This window comes from Homo sapiens, chromosome 12 (assembly GCF_000001405.40).
Source record: "Homo sapiens chromosome 12, GRCh38.p14 Primary Assembly".
In the NCBI taxonomy this organism is placed as follows: domain Eukaryota; kingdom Metazoa; phylum Chordata; class Mammalia; order Primates; family Hominidae; genus Homo; species Homo sapiens.
This window is the reverse complement of record NC_000012.12, coordinates 24,819,189-24,836,932: the sequence shown is the minus strand read 5'-3', so window position 1 is coordinate 24,836,932 and position 17,744 is coordinate 24,819,189. Positions and strand designations below refer to the sequence as shown.

The 17,744-nt window shown below is 37.9% G+C and overlaps 1 protein-coding gene and 1 long non-coding RNA gene across 42 annotated transcripts in view, besides 2 other annotated features; one reads left to right on the top strand and one right to left on the bottom strand.

Moving 5' to 3' along the window:
* The window catches only part of BCAT1 (branched chain amino acid transaminase 1), a 139,317-nt gene that overhangs the window by 112,408 nt on the left and 9,165 nt on the right, over positions 1-17,744 (top strand). For 33 of the 39 annotated variants that reach the window (NR_182106.1, NR_182105.1, NR_182109.1 and 30 more), the window contains 3 exons: positions 337-422; positions 4,070-4,210; positions 7,036-7,110. Coding sequence is in view for 31 of the 39 variants with exons in the window: in NM_001413107.1 (NP_001400036.1) it covers positions 337-422; positions 4,070-4,210; positions 7,036-7,110 (302 nt within the window). In the remaining 8 variants the exon portion in view is untranslated. Of the gene's footprint in view, positions 1-336; positions 423-4,069; positions 4,211-7,035; positions 7,111-16,229; positions 16,323-17,744 lie in introns of all 39 variants that reach the window. The other 6 variants (NM_001413103.1, NM_001413096.1, NM_001413099.1 and 3 more) reach the window with 3 other exon arrangements.
* BCAT1-AS1 (BCAT1 antisense RNA 1) lies at positions 378-17,075 on the bottom strand. 3 transcript variants are annotated; one of them, XR_007063243.1, is made up of 4 exons: positions 16,986-17,075; positions 14,901-15,153; positions 6,144-6,232; positions 378-456 (listed from the first exon to the last, which is right to left on the bottom strand). It is a non-coding gene; the product is annotated as a BCAT1 antisense RNA 1 (long non-coding RNA). The 3 variants fall into 3 exon arrangements; XR_007063245.1 differs by having other exon boundaries at positions 14,994-15,153; XR_007063244.1 differs by lacking the exon at positions 378-456 and adding an exon at positions 2,431-2,629.
* Positions 14,294-14,343: an enhancer, noted in NCBI's record as "active region_6103". NCBI's record gives its function as "activates an Ori minimal core promoter by ATAC-STARR-seq in GM12878 lymphoblastoid cells {active_cell/tissue: GM12878}" and the evidence as "EXISTENCE:reporter gene assay evidence [ECO:0000049][PMID:35858748]".
* Positions 14,734-14,933: an enhancer, noted in NCBI's record as "active region_6102". NCBI's record gives its function as "activates an Ori minimal core promoter by ATAC-STARR-seq in GM12878 lymphoblastoid cells {active_cell/tissue: GM12878}" and the evidence as "EXISTENCE:reporter gene assay evidence [ECO:0000049][PMID:35858748]".

The window sequence follows — 17,744 nt, the reverse complement described above, 5'->3', positions numbered from 1 at the left end:
TTCTTTCTTTCTTTCTTTCTTTCTCTCTTTCTTTTCTTTCTTTCTTTCTTTCTCTTTCTCTTTCCTTCCTTCCTTCCTTTCTTTCTCTCTCTCTCCTTCCTTCCTTCCTTCTTTCCTTCCTTCCTTCTTTCCTTCCTTCCTTCTTTCTTCTTTTTTTAAATAAGGGTCTACCTGAAGTGTGAACTGATTTGGGAAATTTGATCATGCAGAACAGTAAAATTTTCTTTATGTTTGTTGCTAGCAAAATTGTGATGGTTTTTTAAAAAAATGGCTATTGATAATAAGGCATGCCTAATGTAGTGAAAGTTTGAAAATGTCCCAATTTCTGATTGACAGAAGAAGAACTGGCAACTCCTCCACTAGATGGCATCATTCTTCCAGGAGTGACAAGGCGGTGCATTCTGGACCTGGCACATCAGTGGGTGGGTGCCTTTGATATGAACAACTTTTGTAAGCCTGAAATAAAAAATAATCAAAATAAGCCCAGCCTAGTGTTGAAATAATATCCTGTGGTTCCAACCAATGTTATCTAATCTTTAAATTCTAACGTGAATGAAAAGTATTCTTCTAGAAGGGCTTTCTTGGCAAGACTATTAAAATAAGTATTGTTGATAGCAAGGGCAGAGAGAAACCAGTTTAGCAAGATGTCATAGTGGAGAAGTATTCTAGTAGTAGTCTCAGTCTACCAGGTATCTCCCACCAACTTTTGTCTGGTTCATACCTGATGTGCTTCCATCCAGACATTCCTTAACTTCCCAAGTCTGTGTTGCTTCCAAATGGCAATGATACTTCTTCCTTTCCTTTATTTATACCAGTGTAACCATGCTTGCCGTAGAAATGAAATAATTTCACTGACATATAAATGTTTACTAATATAACATTATTGGTTTGACTGCCTTCTTTTTCTCTCTGTCCTACCCCCATCCTCCAAAATTCATATACATGCCTATTTTAAAATCAGAACATGCAAGCAAATGTAAAGTTGTTTTCAGTAGACTTTCAAATTCGTGTGACACAGGCAAGCATATTAAACAATTTGGTGGACCGGGTGCAGTGGTTCATGCCTATAATTCTAGCATTTTGGGAGGCCAAGGCAGGAGGATCACTTAAGCCCAGGAATTCGAGACCAGCCTGGGCAACATAGTGAGACCCCGAATCTACAAAAAAATCAAAAACATTAGCTGAACATGGTGGTACATGCCTGTAGTCCCAGCTACTTGGAGGGGCTGAGGTGGGAGGATGGCATAAGATCTGGAGGTCAAGGTCGCAGTGAGCTATGATCAAGCCACTGCACTACAGCCTGAATACAGGGTGAGACCATGTCTCTAAAAGTAAATTAAATAAATAAATAAATAAATAAATAAATAAATAAATAAATAAAATAAAATTTAAAAAGGTTTGGTTTTGGAAATGACGTAATGTATTCAAGACAAATTATTGAATGAATTGGGTGTCTGGTAAAGGTTCTTGGATGGAACTTTTGACCCAGGTGTTAAAATGGTCTCCAAAGAACATGAAAAGGCTTTGAGCTTACTGTGGTCAAAGAGTACTAGTAGTAATAGGACAAATGTTTAGAAACACACACGTTATCTAGGAGCATACCAGCATGGTTTCTCTGGAAAAGACTTTCAAAATAGATGAAATGTGCTATAAATAATTCTACAAAACCCTGAAGTAGACAAGACCCAACTGCTACATGCTGGCTGGCGCATTGGGCATGACATTTACAAACCGTTGGTATAATTTTCAAACAGCTTGCCCTGTCCTAAATATGTTTGCAATTGGAAAGATATTTTTGAAGCTCAGTAATTTTTGTTTTATTAAAGAAAAATATCAACCAAGTACAGAAGGTTCGACGACAAGTTGCAAGTGGAAATACTTTCCCACACTAATGATTTGCTAGCATGAAAAATAGGTTATTATGGAGGAAATTTTTTCTTGACTTCATAGCTGTAATTTATTTTAAAAGCTATTTTAAAACATGAGACGTGAAATGCCAAGAGGCATGTAGGGGGTCACCACTATTTGCCAGATAGGGGAAATTGTCCAAAGATAAGTAAGGGTGAGCAGAGCAAAAACAATTCTGCTTATTTACAAAAGAGTTTTCTTTTCTTTTCTTTTTCAGGACACAGAACTCAGCTTGTTTTCAATTAATTTGCCTGATTTTCTGCAGTTCATTTACTTTTGAACAACATAATTGCAATTGTAGACTGAGAGAAATTGAAACTTTCAAAGAGCCATATTTCTATTGCAGATATATTTTCCTGCTCTTCCAAATCTACTTACAGCATGAGTTCTTCTTTTAAATATTCAAATATTTTGAATATTGCCAAGAGCTTTGATTTCCATTTTTATCTCTTGTGGGTTTATAAATTAAGAAAAAATACTCATCTTATTTTTTTAAACCTCTCTATTTTTATTGCCCTTTATTCAAATAACTTGTTGACAAACTTTGAACTTGAACCACTGAGGTAAAAGAACAAGAATTAAACAGATAGTTTAAACACATAGCTTAAAAGGATCTTTTTCCCATTTCCTATCCTTGAGCAAAGAATATATTCAAACACTTTGGCAGAAGTCAATGAGGTTATACCACTAATTCCATGATGAAAATCAACTGAATGTGATACTGAAAGAGAAGGAAGAGAATTGTCACTGTAAAGTCAACTGTTAGTCATATTAGGAAAAAAAATACATACAATACAATTTCTCAAATAAAGTCCAAATATACATTCAACGTTTAAAAATAATGAGTATTTCAGATATTTGAACTCAGTCTGTTCTTTATTCCATAAAAGATATAGGTAAGCCGTGCACAGTGGCTCACAACTATAATCCCAGCACTTTGGCACTTTGGGAGGCTGAGGTGGGAGGATCACATGAGCCCAGCCTGGGCAACATAGGGAGACCCCTATCTTTACAAAATAAAATATAAAATATAAAACCTAGTTGGGCATGGCAGCATACACCTGTAGTCCCAGGTGCTCAGGAGACTGAGACAGGAGGATCACTTGGGCCTGGGAGGTCGAGGCTGCAATGAGCCAAGATTATGCCACTGCATTCCAGCCTGGGTGACAGGGCAAGACCCTGTCTTAAAAAAAAAAAAAAAAGAAAGAGACAAACGTAGAAAGAGTACCAAATTTGGAGCCAATCAGATCAGACCTGGGTTCAAATTGAGTTTCTGTCACTTACTTCCTTTGTGGCCCTGGAGATGCCCTTCAACCTCCTTGAACCTTAGTTTCCTCATCTGTAAAATGGGGATGATAGTACTCACCCTTAAAATTACAGAACTTGGCATAATAGCGGGTGCTTGATAAATGGTAGCTATAATTATTAATATTATATAATACATTGTTCTCCTTTATGGTAAAGTAGGTTTTAAGACACTGATTTTTTTGTTTTGTTTTGTTTTTGGAGACAGAGTCTCACTCCGTCACCCAGGCTGGACTGCAGTGACGTGATCTTGGTTCACTGCAACCTCTGCCTCCTGAGTTCAAGCGATTCTCCTGCCTCAGCCTCCTGAGTAGCTGGGATTACAGGCACCCGCCACCATGCCTGGCTAATTTTTGTATTTTTAGTAGAGACAGGGTTTTACCAGGTTGGCCAGGCTGGTCTCAAACTCCTGACCTCAAGTAATCTGCCTGCCTCAGCCTCCCCAAATGCAGAGATTACAGGCATGAGCCACCGTGCCCGGCCTAAGACACTGTTAACACGGAGCATGCATCAAGCAGCATTTGGGATGCATCAATTTTGTGAGACTTTATACAAGTTAACAAATAAGAAGGCAAAAAAGAAGGCATATGTTAAAGTATACCATGTGTCTTGTGGTGATAATCTTATATTTTATATTCTGATAATCTCATATATAAATCTGTGACCTTGAAGTAGGTTACTTAACACCTCGATGTGTTCACCAGTAAGATGGTGTGCCACTTCCAGCTTTCCCTTAAAGGATGATTGTGACCTTGTCTAAGTGCAATCAGAATGTTAAGCAGAACAGTAAGTATTGCAATTGTTTTGCATGCCTTTTCCTTTAAAATATACTTGTTATTTTTTATATTCCATGCAGGGTGAATTTAAGGTGTCAGAGAGATACCTCACCATGGATGACTTGACAACAGCCCTGGAGGGGAACAGAGTGAGAGAGATGTTTGGCTCTGGTACAGCCTGTGTTGTTTGCCCAGTTTCTGATATACTGTACAAAGGCGAGGTACGACAAGTATTTCCTCATTTCCTATCATTTCCAATCACATTAAATTACATTTAATTTAAGTGTATGAATAAAATTGTATCTGGACCCAGACCCAAGATGCAAAAGTTTTGTCGTTGTTGTTGTTTTTCTTTATTTTAAAGAGATGGAGTCTCGCTGTGTTGCCCAGGCTGGAGTGCAGTGGCTATTCACTGGTGTGATCATAGCTCACTGCAGCCTCAAACTCCTGGGCTCACGCAATCCTTCTGCTTCAGCCTCCTGAGTTGCTGGGATTACAGGAGTGCGCCACCGCACCATGCTAGGTCTTTTTTGTTGTTGTTTTTGTTTTTTAACTTGGCACTACAAAAAAAATAACTGGGACAGTTTATCCAGATGAAACTGTATTAGCATATATCTACTATGTTTCCAGTGATTTCATGTAAGCTTAAACATGGTGGGAAGTTAGTTTTGTCCTTGGACACGTGTAAGATCTGTCTTACCTACATGTCGGGATTGGAGCTATGCCGACAGTCTTCTACTCTTCTCTCTTCCTTCCTACCAGCTCACTAGGGAAGGCTCTATAGGTAGTTACATTTCAGTTTCTGGTTAACCAAAAGTACTTCCAAACCACTGGATTAGGAATGGCAAATAGTTATGGAAAATGCATTCGAGTGGTCAATCCCTTGATTTTTTTTTACTATTAATGCTGTTATCATTAATAGTAAGTAGACCACTTTACAAGAATTATTCATTGGCAAACCTGGTGCATTTACTAAAATCTTACAAAAGGAATTTGAGGATTTGGTTGGAAGAAATGTTCTCCTCTTAGTAAATTAGTCTGATTTTATATGTGCCATACTTTTGTTTTCTTGTCAAATTGTTTTGCTTTTCACTTTATAACAAAGCTCCAATACTTATGATTAACATTGGCATCTAACTTTATAACTTAAAGGCATGTAAGTATTAGTCTTATAATGTGAACTGGCTTAAGTTATTCATATTATAGCAGATCCTTGAACAACACAGGGATTAGGGGTGTCAACCCCCATGCAGTTGAAAAATCCACATACAACTTTTTTTGTTTGTTTGTTTTTTTAAACGGGGTCTTTCTCTGTCACCTGTACTGGAGTGCAGGGGCACAATCTCGGCTCACTGCAACCTCCGCCTCCCAAGCTCAAGCGATCCTCTCACCTCAGTCTCCCAAGTAGCTGGGACCACAGGTGTGCACCACCACACCCAGCTAATTTTAGTATTTTTTGTAGAGACGGGGTTTCAAGATGTTTCACAGGCTGGTCTCAAACTCTTGAGTTCAAGTGATTCACCTGCCTTGACCTCCCAAAGTGCTGGTATTACAGGCGTGAGTCACCATGCCCGGCCCACATATAACTTTTGACTTCCCAAAAACTTAACTACTAGTAGCCTGCTGTTCACCGGAAGCCTTATCAACAACAAAAACAGTCGATTGGCACATATTTTGTATGTTATGTATGTTATATATGTATTCTTACAATAAAGTAAGTTACGAAAATCATGGGGAAGGGAAAATATATTTACTATTCATTACATGGAAGTGGATCATCATAAAGGTCTTCATCCTCATTGTCCATCATGTTGAGTAGGCTGAGGAGGAGGAGGAGGAGGAGGGATTGGTCTTGCTGTTTTAGGAGTGGCAGAGGCAGAAGAAAGTCCACGTATAAGTGAACTTGTGTAGTTCAAACCCGTGTTGTTCAAGTGTCAACCGTAAATGCAAACTCCACTGGTTTTCAAATTTTACTTTAGAGTTATTTTCCCTCAGCTGATTGGAGTTTTGCTCAACTCCTCTGACTTTAATAATGGCTGCTTCATTTGTTGAGGTTTTAGAACTTGCTTTTAAGGGATTGCTCTTGACATAATTGCATCAACAGATAGACTGTTTCATGGGAGAAGAATTGTTCTGTTTCATGTCAATACTTACATTGATAAGAATGCATCAAGGTAATGTGATCCATCCACTGAAGTTGTCATTAGGCCAGATTTTTTTTAAGTTGAATTATTATTTCACTTCTAGAAATAAGAAGTTTATAAAGTTTAGCATAATTTTAATGATCCAGGCTTAGGAAGCATTTACAGCCAAAAAGTAAGTATATATAATTATCATATTATACTAAAGGGTATAATATGAAAAGTGTTTGAGAGCACAGACTATCTCCTAAAATCAAACTATCAAAACCTGCAAGCCAGCAAGGCATGAGTAGGCATGACTCAGATACAAATTAGAAGCATGAAATCTCTTTCAGCCATGCATTTAATCATGCTATCCAATATTGTGGAGGTAGTGGCCCCTGGAAGTTTACCTTGGGCCAGAGATAGGTATAGAAGCCCCTTTTATGAAGTCATAGACTTGCTTTAATTTATGCTCCCAGAATGACTTGCATTAAACTGTGGCAAAATATCTTTGAGTTCTCATATTAGCCAGAGGGTTAATATGTAGAAGACAATCATTCATCCTTACAGATTCTCAGAATCTTGGAAGAGGTAGGGTTCTTTAAGTTTAGCCACTATTTTAGGTAACTGTAGCTCCTCCTTGGTTCTTCAAATGATCCTGAAGGCTGGTATACAAACCAGTTATGCCCTAAAATTAATTGGTAGGTAGGCAATGTATAACCTGTCATTGGCTAGTTTTTATTCAAATTTTGGATATGAAAGTCTTTGGCATAAGGTGCTAGCACTCAGAGTCAGTAGGTTTTAGTGCTATTCCTTAACTTCAGTGGAATTGCCTTAGTATAGCAGAATTGCTTGAGTGTCTTATCTGTTATCACCATATACATGAGTACCCTCAAATTATCTCATTTCCCTTTCTTTTGTAGACAATACACATTCCAACTATGGAGAATGGTCCTAAGCTGGCAAGCCGCATCTTGAGCAAATTAACTGATATCCAGGTAAAGCTTTTCTTTTCTTTTCTTTTCTTTCCTTTTCTTTTCTTTTTTTTATGTCACCTTATTTCTGTCAGAGCTTACAACTAAATTATATTTCAATGAAGAGGATTAAATAATACAATTTGAGATCAATAAGTTAAATTTAAGGAAGATATTCCCAACACAATGTGTGGGCATGAGCAAAGCAGAAATGGGAAAGAAGATGTATGTTTTAAAAAAAGAAAGAAAATATTGTTCAGGACTCCACATTACTTAACATTAAAAAATAGATGTAATTTTTGGTAACATTTAAAAATCTCATTAAGAAGGATAACATAACTTTTGTTAAAAAAAGGAAGAAAAAATTTGAAAGTAGAAGCAACTTCAGGAAGAAAATTACAGTGCATGTGATTCCAACACTGAGATATAATCACTGTTAATTTTTTATGTCTTTTTATTTTTGAGCTGGAGTTTCACTCTTGTTGCCCAGGCTGGAGTACGATGGCACGATCTTGGCTCACTGCAACCTCTGCCTCCCGGGTTCAAGCAATTTTCCTACCTCAGCCTCCCGAGTAGCTGGGATTATAGGTGTGCGCCACCATGCCCAGCTAATTTTTGTGTTTTTAGTAGAGATGGGATTTCACCATGTTGGCCAGGCTGGTCTTGAACTCCTGACCTAAGGTAATCCACCTGCCTTGGCCTCCTAAATTGTTGGGATTACAGGCATGAACCACTGTGCCCTGCCATTTTTTGATGTCTTAACCTTCAATATTTTGTAAGCATTTATATACTTTATTTATTTATTTATTTATTTATTTATTTATTTACTTATTTATTTTTGAGACTAAGTCTCGCTGTGTCACCCAGGCTGGAGAACAGTGGCATGATCTCAGCTCACTACAACCTCCACCTCCTGGGTTCAAGCGATTCTTCTGCCTCAGCCTCCCGAGTAGCTGGGATTACAGGTCTCATGCCACCGTTCCCGGCTAATTTTTGTATTTTTAGTAGAGATGAGGTTTTGCCCTGTTGGCCAGGCTGGTCTTGAACTCTTGACCTCAGGTGATCCACCCGCCTTGGCTTCCCAAAGTGCTGGGATTACAGCCGTGAGCCACCATGCCCAGCCAGTATACTTTTAGATAGTTATTTTTTCCTAACAAAATGGGATCATATTGTACATAATTTTGTTACATGTTTTTTCACTGAATAAATGCTTTGCTTTTTTATATCAATAAGTAGTTTTCTCCAACACCATTTATAAAGTTTAATTGAATTCCATTATATTGATGTACCATAATTTTTTTAAAAAATTATATTATTGAACATTTATGTTGTTGGCAATTTTTTTTTCACTAGTATGGACAGTACATCCTCGATTACTTCCTAAGGATAAATCTGGGATCAAAGAGTATACACGTCTATTTTTTCATACTGCTAACTTTGTTTTGCCTATTTTTTTTCTGAGCAATAATCTACAGTAATGCCTCATCAGGCAGTTAAGCAGGCATGCTAAATACCAGATAACACTGGGCTACTCAGAAAAGAGATTATCCTGTAATTTGCAAGCATTTCACAAGTTAGAAGACTTTGTTGAAGCCAGTTACTATCCTTGTCAATTAGTAAAAATATCCAAGAGGGCCTGAGACTTACATTGAAAAGTAAAATAAAGTTTGATCATTTGAGTGATGTCGGATGGCATTAAGTCATGAAACTAAGTGAAACTTAAAGGTGGCTGAGAATGCAACAGGCCTCCAGAGAGCAATGGAGGTCCTTGGGTAGTGATAAAAATGGCATTTCTGGCTGGGTGCAGTGGCTCACACCTATAATCCCAACACTATGGGAGGCCAAGACAGGAGGATCGCTTGAGGCCAGGTGTTCAAGACTAGCCTAGGCAACATAGTGAGAACCTTCCTCTAAAAAAAGGGAAATAAAATAAAAATAAAAGTTTAAAAGAGAGTTTAAAAGGCAGTTTTAAAAGAGACTTACTCAGCAAGTTTTCTGCCAAATTTACAGTATTAAAAAGAAAGAAAGTGTGTTTTTGTTTCTGTTTGTTTTTTTGAGACAGAGTCTTACTCTGTTGCTCAGGCTGGGGTGCAGTGGTGCAATCTCAGCTCACTGCAACCCCTGCCTCCTGGGTTCAAGTGATTCTTGTGCCTCAGCCTCCCACACAGCAGGGATTATGGGCATGCACCATCATGCCTGGCTAATTTTTGTATTTTTAGTAGAGTCGAGGTTTCGCCATGTTGGCCAGGCTGGTCTCAAACTCCTAGCCTCAAGTGATTTGCCCACCTTAGCCTCCCAAAGTGCTGAGATTACAGGCATGAGCCACCGCACCCTGGCCTTGATTGTGGTTTTTTAATCAATGAGCTGCCATACTTCTGCTCTCCAGCAAAGGTTTTCTATGAGAATTTTCTGTAAGCTAAGTAAAGGAATATCTTAATATTGGAAGAAATAAAATTTAGTCAGAGTTGTTTTCTACCTTTGTACACAGCAACACTTACAAGTAATTTGAAGAGTAGCTAATAAAAATTTCTGCATGGATGGCTTAGGCATTTTAATTTTTTTAAGGTTGCCTGAGTAAATCTGAAAATAATAAATTATTACAGTTTTGCTCAAATAAAGAACACAAATAGAACAAAAAATACATAACTGGCTAGATTACATGAAAGCCTTTTTCCAAAACAGAGGTTTAGAGGCCAGGGCAAATAGGCAGGAAAAATAAATAAAGGGCATCCAAATTGGAAAAGAAGAAGTTAAATTAGCTTTCTTAGCAGATGACATTATCTTACACCTAGAAAAACCTAAAGACTCCCTCAAAAAACCTGTAGAACTGATAAATGAATTCAGTAAAGTTGCAGGATATAAAATCAACATATAAAAATCAGTAGAATTTATATATGCTAACAGTGAACAATCTGAAAAAGAAATCAAGAAAGCAATCCCATTTATAATAGCCACAAAAAGTATAAAATACCTAGGAATCAATCTAACCAAAGACATGAGAGATCTATACAAGGAAAAGTATAAAACTATGATTTAAAAAATTGAAGAAAACACACAAAGGTGGAAAGATATTCCATATTCATGGATTGGAAGAATTAATTTTGTTAAAATGACTATACTACACAAAGCAATTTACAGATTCAATGCAATCCCTATTAAAATACTGATGACTTTCTTCACAGAAATAGAAAAAACAATCCTAAAATGTATATGGAGCTAAAAAGACCCCAAATAGCCAAAGCAATCTTGAGCAAAAAGAACAAAGTTAGAATCACCACACTACCTTACTTCAAAATTTATTATAAAACTATAATAACCAAAACAGCATAGTACTGATATAAAAACAGACATAGTAGACCAGTGGGACAGAATAGAGAACCCAGATACCTAAGTCCACATGTTTACAACCAACTCATCTTTGACAAAGGTGCCAAGAACTGTAACGGGGAAGACAGTCTTTTCAATAAATGGTGCTGGGAAAATTGGATAATTATATGCAGAAGAATGAAACTAGATTCGCTTCTCTTACCATACACAGAAATCAAATGAAAGTATATTAATGACTTGAATCTTAGACCTGAAACTATGAAATTACTTGAAGAAAACATTAAGGAAATGCTTCAGGACATTGGTCTAAGCAAAGATCTCATTCTGTCACTCAGGCTGGAGTGTAGTGGCATGAACCTGGCTCATTGTGGCATTGACCTCCTGGGCTCAAGCAATTCTCCCACCTTGGCTTTCCATGTAGCTAGAACCACAGGTGCATGCCACCACATTCCACTAATTTTTAAATTTTTTGTAGAGATGGAGTCTCACCATCTTGCCCAGGCTGGTCTCGAACTCCTGAACTCAAGGGATCCTCCTGTCTCAGCCTCCCAAAGTGCTGAGATTACTAGCATAAGCCACTGTCCCTGGCCAGCGAAGATTTCTTATGTAAGACCTGAAAAAGCATAGGCTATCAAAGCAAAAATAGGCAATTGGGATTATGTCAAGCTGGAAAGCTTCTCCACAGCAAAGAAAACAATCCACAAAGGGAATAGATTACCCAAAGAATGGATGAAAATATTTGCAAACTATCAATCTGACAAGGGATTAATAACCAGAGTCTATAAGGAGCTCAAACAACTGTATAGGAAAAATCTAGTAATCTGGTTTTAAAATGGGCATGAGACCTGATTAGAAAACTCAACAGAAAAAAAAATTTGATTAAAAATGGATAAAAGATCTGAATGGACATTTCTCAAAAGAAGACAGACAAATGGCCAGGAGGTACATGAAAAAATGCGCAACATCACTAATTATCAGAGAAATGCAAAACAAAACCACAATGTAAAATCCACTTGCCCTAGTTAAAATGGCTTGTATTAAAAAAAAAAAAAAAAACAGGCAATAACAGATGCTGGGAGGATGTGGAGAAAGGGAACCATCATATATTGTTGGTTGAAATATAAATAGTACAGCCACTATGGAGAACAGTATGGAGGGTCCTCCAAAAATAAAAGTAGAACTAGAACTTCCGTGTGATCCAGCAATTCTACCACCGGGTATATATCCAAAAGAAAAAAATTAGTATATCAAAGAGATATCTGCACTCCCATGTTTATTGCAATAGTATTCACAATAGCCAAGATATGGAATTAACCTAAATGTCTGTCAACAGATAAATGGATAAAGAGAATGTGGCATAAAGATATATATATATATATATATACACACACACACACACACACACACAATGTGGTACTATTCAGCCATAAAAAAGAATGAAATCCTGTCATTTGCAGCAACATGTATGGAACTGGAGGCCATTTTGTTAAGTGAAATAAGCGAGGGACCGAAAGACAAACATCACATGTTCTCATGCAGGTGCTAAAAAAGTAGATCCTATGAAGACAGAGAGTAGATTAGAGGTTACCAGAGGCCGAGAAGGGGAGTGGGAAGTAGAGGATAAAGGAAAAAAACAAGAATATAAATGTATTTATTACCATTAAACTGAACATTTAAAAATTGTAAAGATGGTAAATTATATATGTGTATTTTATCTTAATTAAAATTTTAAAAATCAGGAGTTTAGAAATTTTTAAGAGAAGTGTGCCCATAGTGATAAGAAAGAAAGACCCTTTTGGAAAATTTTCTTGAACAAATTATACAGTATTTTCTTAAACAAATTGTACATTCTGTAGCAGTTAATACACCAAATAAGATTTCAGGGTTACCTCTTGGAGATTGTATGAAATAAAAACATTTAGGTGGGCATGATGGCTCATTCCTGTAATCCTAAAACTTTGGGAGGCTGATGCAGGAACAATACTTGAGGCTAGTACTTCAAGACGAGCCTAGGCAACATAGTAAGACCCAGTCTCCACAAAACAACCAAAAAAAATAGCAAGTGTGGTGGCACACACCTGTAGTTCCAGCTACTCAGGAGGCTGAGGCAGGAGGAACACTTGAGGCCAGGAATGTGAGACTGCAGTGGGCTATGATTGTGCCACAGCACTCCACTCCAGCCTTCACTGTAGAAAGAGACCCTGTCTCGAAAGGAAGGAGGGAGGGAGGGAGGGAGGGAGGGAGGGAGGGAATGAAGGAAGGAAGGAAGGAAGGAAGGAAGGAAGGAAATGTAAACTCATTTGATTTGGCTGTAAAGGATTAATAGAAAAGGAAAACGTAGTCACTAGGCTGAGAAAAATTGAACTCTATTGAATTGGTATAAAGATCTAAGTGGAGGTGTTTGGCAGACATGATCATGAAGCTTTCACTGAGGAAGGAAACTCTAGGAGGCAAAAGCAGAAATGCAACTCATCAAAATTGAAATGGTGACAAAATATGTGCATTCAAACCTGAAAGTGACTGAAAGAGAAGCCCAAACACACAATTTTGGGGTAAGATGGGAAACCATTACCAAAGTTCTCAGAAAGAGCATTTTTAAAAGTAAGATTATAGAAGCCAAAAGGATATGTAGTAGTCTGTTCTCACACTGCTGTAACGAACTACCTGAGACTGGGTAGTTTGTAAAGAAAAGAGGTTTTATTGACGCTCAGTTCTGCAGGCCATACAGGAGACATGGCTGGGGAGGCCTCAGGAAACTTACAGTCATGGCGGAAGGCAAAGGGGAAGCCAGTACATATTACATGGTGGGAACAGGAGGAGGAGAGGGAGGGTGGGAGGTGCCACTCACTTTTTAAAACAAACAGATCTCCTTAGAACTCACTCACTATCATGAGAACAGCAAGGGGGAGGTTTGCTCCCATGATGCAATTACCTGACACCAGGCCCTTCCTCCAACATGGGGGATTACAATTCCACATGAGATTTGGGTGGGGACACAAATTCAAACCATATCAGAATGTTAGTGACTAAAGTAAATGTTCTTGTTTAACTCTTTAATGTGTATATTGAGTGCAAGCCATATGCAGGGGCTATTCTAGGTACTGGTGGTTTACTCAAGAAAAAGGGGGCAAAAAAATGAAGAAGGTGGCCAGGCATGGTGGCTTACGCCTGTAATCCCAACACTTTGGGAGACTGAGACGTGAGAATTGCTTGAGCCCAGGAGTTTGAGATCAGCCTGGTAACATGGCAAATCCCTGTCTCTACAAAAAAATGCAAACAAACAAACAAACAAACAAACAAATTAATCGGGCATGGTGTCACATGTCTGTAGTCCCAGCTACAGGTTGAGGTGGGAAGATGCCTTAAGCCTAGGGAGGTTGAGGCTGCAGTCAGCCATGATAGCACCACTGCACTCCAGCCTGGGCAACAGAGTGAGACCCCATCTGAAAAAAAAAGAAGTCAAAACAAATGAAAAAAAAAAAAAAGTCAAAACAAATATTCAGTGTAAATGTGAGACCATGTAAAAAAGTTTAAAAGTAAAATATATAGTTTAAGCAGAGGATGGGAGACGGGGAAAAAACCTTTTCTCCCTAACTTTATATACTCCCTCTATAAATTAGTGCTTATGGCCAATAAGAAATGAATAATTTCTTTTTTCACCGTTGGTAGTAAAGTATAATGGTAGTTAACACAAAAAACTAAATGATATATTCAGAACCTCATACTAAACAAAGAAACAAAGGCATGCAATCACAGGACAGGTGGAAACAGTGGTTCTGAACTAACCACAAACCAGAACTACCAAATGTGCTACAAATTGTTTAGTAACAAAGGACCATCCCTTCAGAATTGAAGAGCACGTCTCAGTTATCTCATGCCTATGTGCATGGAACTTAAAGTCTCAAAATTACTCTTACAAGATGGCAAATTGAGGCTGTCAGCTAAGCTCCTAGATTGTCTGTTTCTCCAAGAAAAATAAATTTCAGTAATTATTAAGGAAAAAGCATAGAATTGCATCATGTTTTACATTTCATTACTTTTGGCATGACATGGGAGCATGGATGTTTTCTACAAAGTGCTCTGATAAATTGAAGAAGAGGCCAACAACAGCCACCGAAAAAACCTTCAAGATTCTTGCCAGTATGGCTCAGGGGAAAAATTCCCTCATAACCACAGATTTGACTTTTCAACTTCTGTACTTCTGCATATGAGTAATAATCTCTGAGGTTAAGTATTCATCCCATTTAGCTAATTGTCCACATAACTCCCTGGGTCTTAGATTGCTCTATAAATACCTCCTAAGAGAAGAATTTTTCAAATGACAGTTTCGTTTTTCCTTTTTCTTCTTTTAAAGCAACAAAGAAAAGCACGTCTGTGTTTATATTTAACCAAACTTAAACTTGGAGAGCATTGGCCGTGTTGTCGACGTGTTTCTTTTCTCTACTGTTAAATTCCTTACTGTTCCAGTTACTCACCATCATACTCACCTTTGCCTCTGCCACTTGGGGTCCTCTGTTCTGCAGTTGTGTTCTGCTCTCTGATGCCTCCAGGTTTTGCTGCACCTTCTAGAAATTGCTCACCTGGATAAGGCCTTGGCTGTCCTTTATGACTCATCTCGTTCAGAAGCCTTTTGAATCTCTCTTGAAGAATATTCCCTTTGCTCAGTCCAAATACACATTCACTCACTTGAATGCTGCTTCTTCCTCCAGTTTCACAGTGCTGGGGATGATCCCGTAAGGCCTTTAAATTACATTATAATTAGTCATGCACTTCTCTCTGCTCTGGGGCTGTTTGAATCGTTCACTCTCTTTATACCTCCAGTGTTCAGCACAGAGCCTAGGGTATAATGCGTATGCAGTAATGTTTCTTGAAGGAGTGAATGGGCAAGTGAAACACCAAACAAATACTAAAGAGCAAAACATGTATTGCTCTTGTATATTAACACATTCCGAGAAGAGATGGGAGGAAGGTCTTGAATAATATCAAATTATTTCTTAAGAGATCTTGATTTAGATTTTTTTCAAAATGAGATACATGTTGACACTGCTGTCAACAAATAATCACATAAAAGCTAGAGCCTGGCTTTTAAGTATCAGGGGGAGCATGTGTGAATAATCAGCATTGCTGCTGTTGAAGCTCCATAAAGTGGGAAGCAGCGACTGCAAAGATCCAGAGATGGACATCTGAAGCATAGGAAAGGGGCAGCTTGAATGAGATAGGAGCAGGATCTGTATTGATTGCAGGTCACCAGATAGAATTAAAAAAATCTATGTTCTCACTAGTGGCTACAGTTTTCAAGGACAAATGACTATTAGTGGTTATTGTATTTTTCTTGTTTTCAATGGAGCAGCTCCATGACTTAGTTACATAAGAAGTTAAAGGCTCCACCCCCTTCCCTACCAATGTCTTAAGCTGTCCTCCGTGTGCATACAAACTTTGTTTCCAGACTGCCCTCGTGTGACTCAGTCCCTGGACCAGCTTCCCAGCCCCTTCTGTTTCCAGCACATCCTCCTCCACGTGTTACAGGATTACAAAGCTTTGCACAGCCTTTCAATAGGGTTTAGAGCAAGAATGACAGATTGCTACCTGGTAGGCAGCACTGACTATAGTTTTATTGGCGTTGCGTAGAGTGACTGCATGACATGCAGGTTGTGCTTTTGTTTTGCCAGGAATTTAAAGGCATTTAGCAAAGCCGTATGAAATTATCTGCCTTATGTACCTCGAATGTGAGGTAATGAACTTGTCATTAGTCGTGTTTTAGTTTAGTGTTCTCGCTGGAATTTGCAAAAGATTAAAATTCTGCACATTTCATTAAGTCTTCCACATGGGCTCAAAATACCATCCCGCAGGCTCGACCTGACTTGCCACGTTGCTTTGACACCATCTCTGATTCCAGTGAACAAAACTAAGTAAGTGTGACTTACAGCCGCCCTACCAAACATTGAAGGTGTGAGCCTGCACTGTTGTTTTGTAATGACAATGACAAGAGTATAATGACAAGAGTATAATGACATCCTAGTCCATGAAGACATGTTTTCTCTTTTCCCTCCCTCTATGTATACTTACTTACTCTTAAGGAAATAATATAATTTCTATTTCTGCTTAAATCTGCCATCTCTACTTAGAATTATTTTCCCTTGAAAAATTAAATTGCATTATCCATCAGCCAAATGGAAAATCTGATTACTAAATGCCTACTTCTAGACATTATGAATTACCTGTAATATCACATTTCTTGGGCACTTCTCAGAATGCTATGATTTTACATAAAAGCATAAATTACAGAATGAGAAGAGTAAAGCTTAGTGCATATTATGCAGGTTCGCAGAGTGATATGTGGCCTACGACTGTCATTGTAATCAAAATTGATTTTTGATCATTTATAAAACTAAAACAACTAATTGAAAGCAAATTTACTTTAACTGATGAAATTCAAGATGAAGTGACAGTAGTCATGAATCACAGTTCTGTAGATCTGCTAAAATGCCAATGAACTGTTATTAATGGTGAAAGTGTTTAATATATTAATGGGAATCCAAGTAAGGAAAATAAAACACATATTTTGCCCTTACCTTAAGTCATGTTGACATCATACATAAATCAGGTAGAATTTGAAGATGTTTCATCCAGCATTCATCATGAAGCAACAGAGTCAATAGCGGGCAGTTACAGTCTGTAGGCAATGCTTTCTGGTGTGGATTATGCAAGAAACTTACAGTCATTTGGCTTCCTTTATTCCCCTTTGCATGTAAACTACCAGGTGGTAGGTAGACCCATTCTTGGCTGCCAGTATTTTTACCACTTGGATAGATTCTGCTCTCTGAGGTCTTTAAGACAAACACAGCACATGTACATTGTGATATAGGAGAAAGAACATCAGACAGAGGCAGAGAACTGGGCTTGTCAAAATTAAGGGTGACCTAGAGCCTTAGTGTCCTTATATGTAAGATGAGAAGCTTGGATTAAAATTCATTGCTCCTTACACTTGATTTTTATGCAGCAGAACTTTCTTCAAAAGAGATCACTCCTGGAATCCCAATATACAAAATGGATAAAAGTAGGATTGTTCTGAAGTAAAGAAGTAAAATCCAGAGCCCCACTTATTTGAGTCATCTCCTACCTTTTAGATGGTTATTAACATTGTTTCTAGTTCAGAAATTCTGATGTTTTATATTAATTTAAACTAAAGTTAAATTAGGACTAGAAGAGCCATTTCGTGTGAAAATAGACATAGTCTGAGTGATTTAGGCAAACCCATAGTGACAGATTTAGTGGCCTGATACACTGGCTTGGAAAGATCTGTTCCAAGTCAGTCTCAATACACAAGGCTC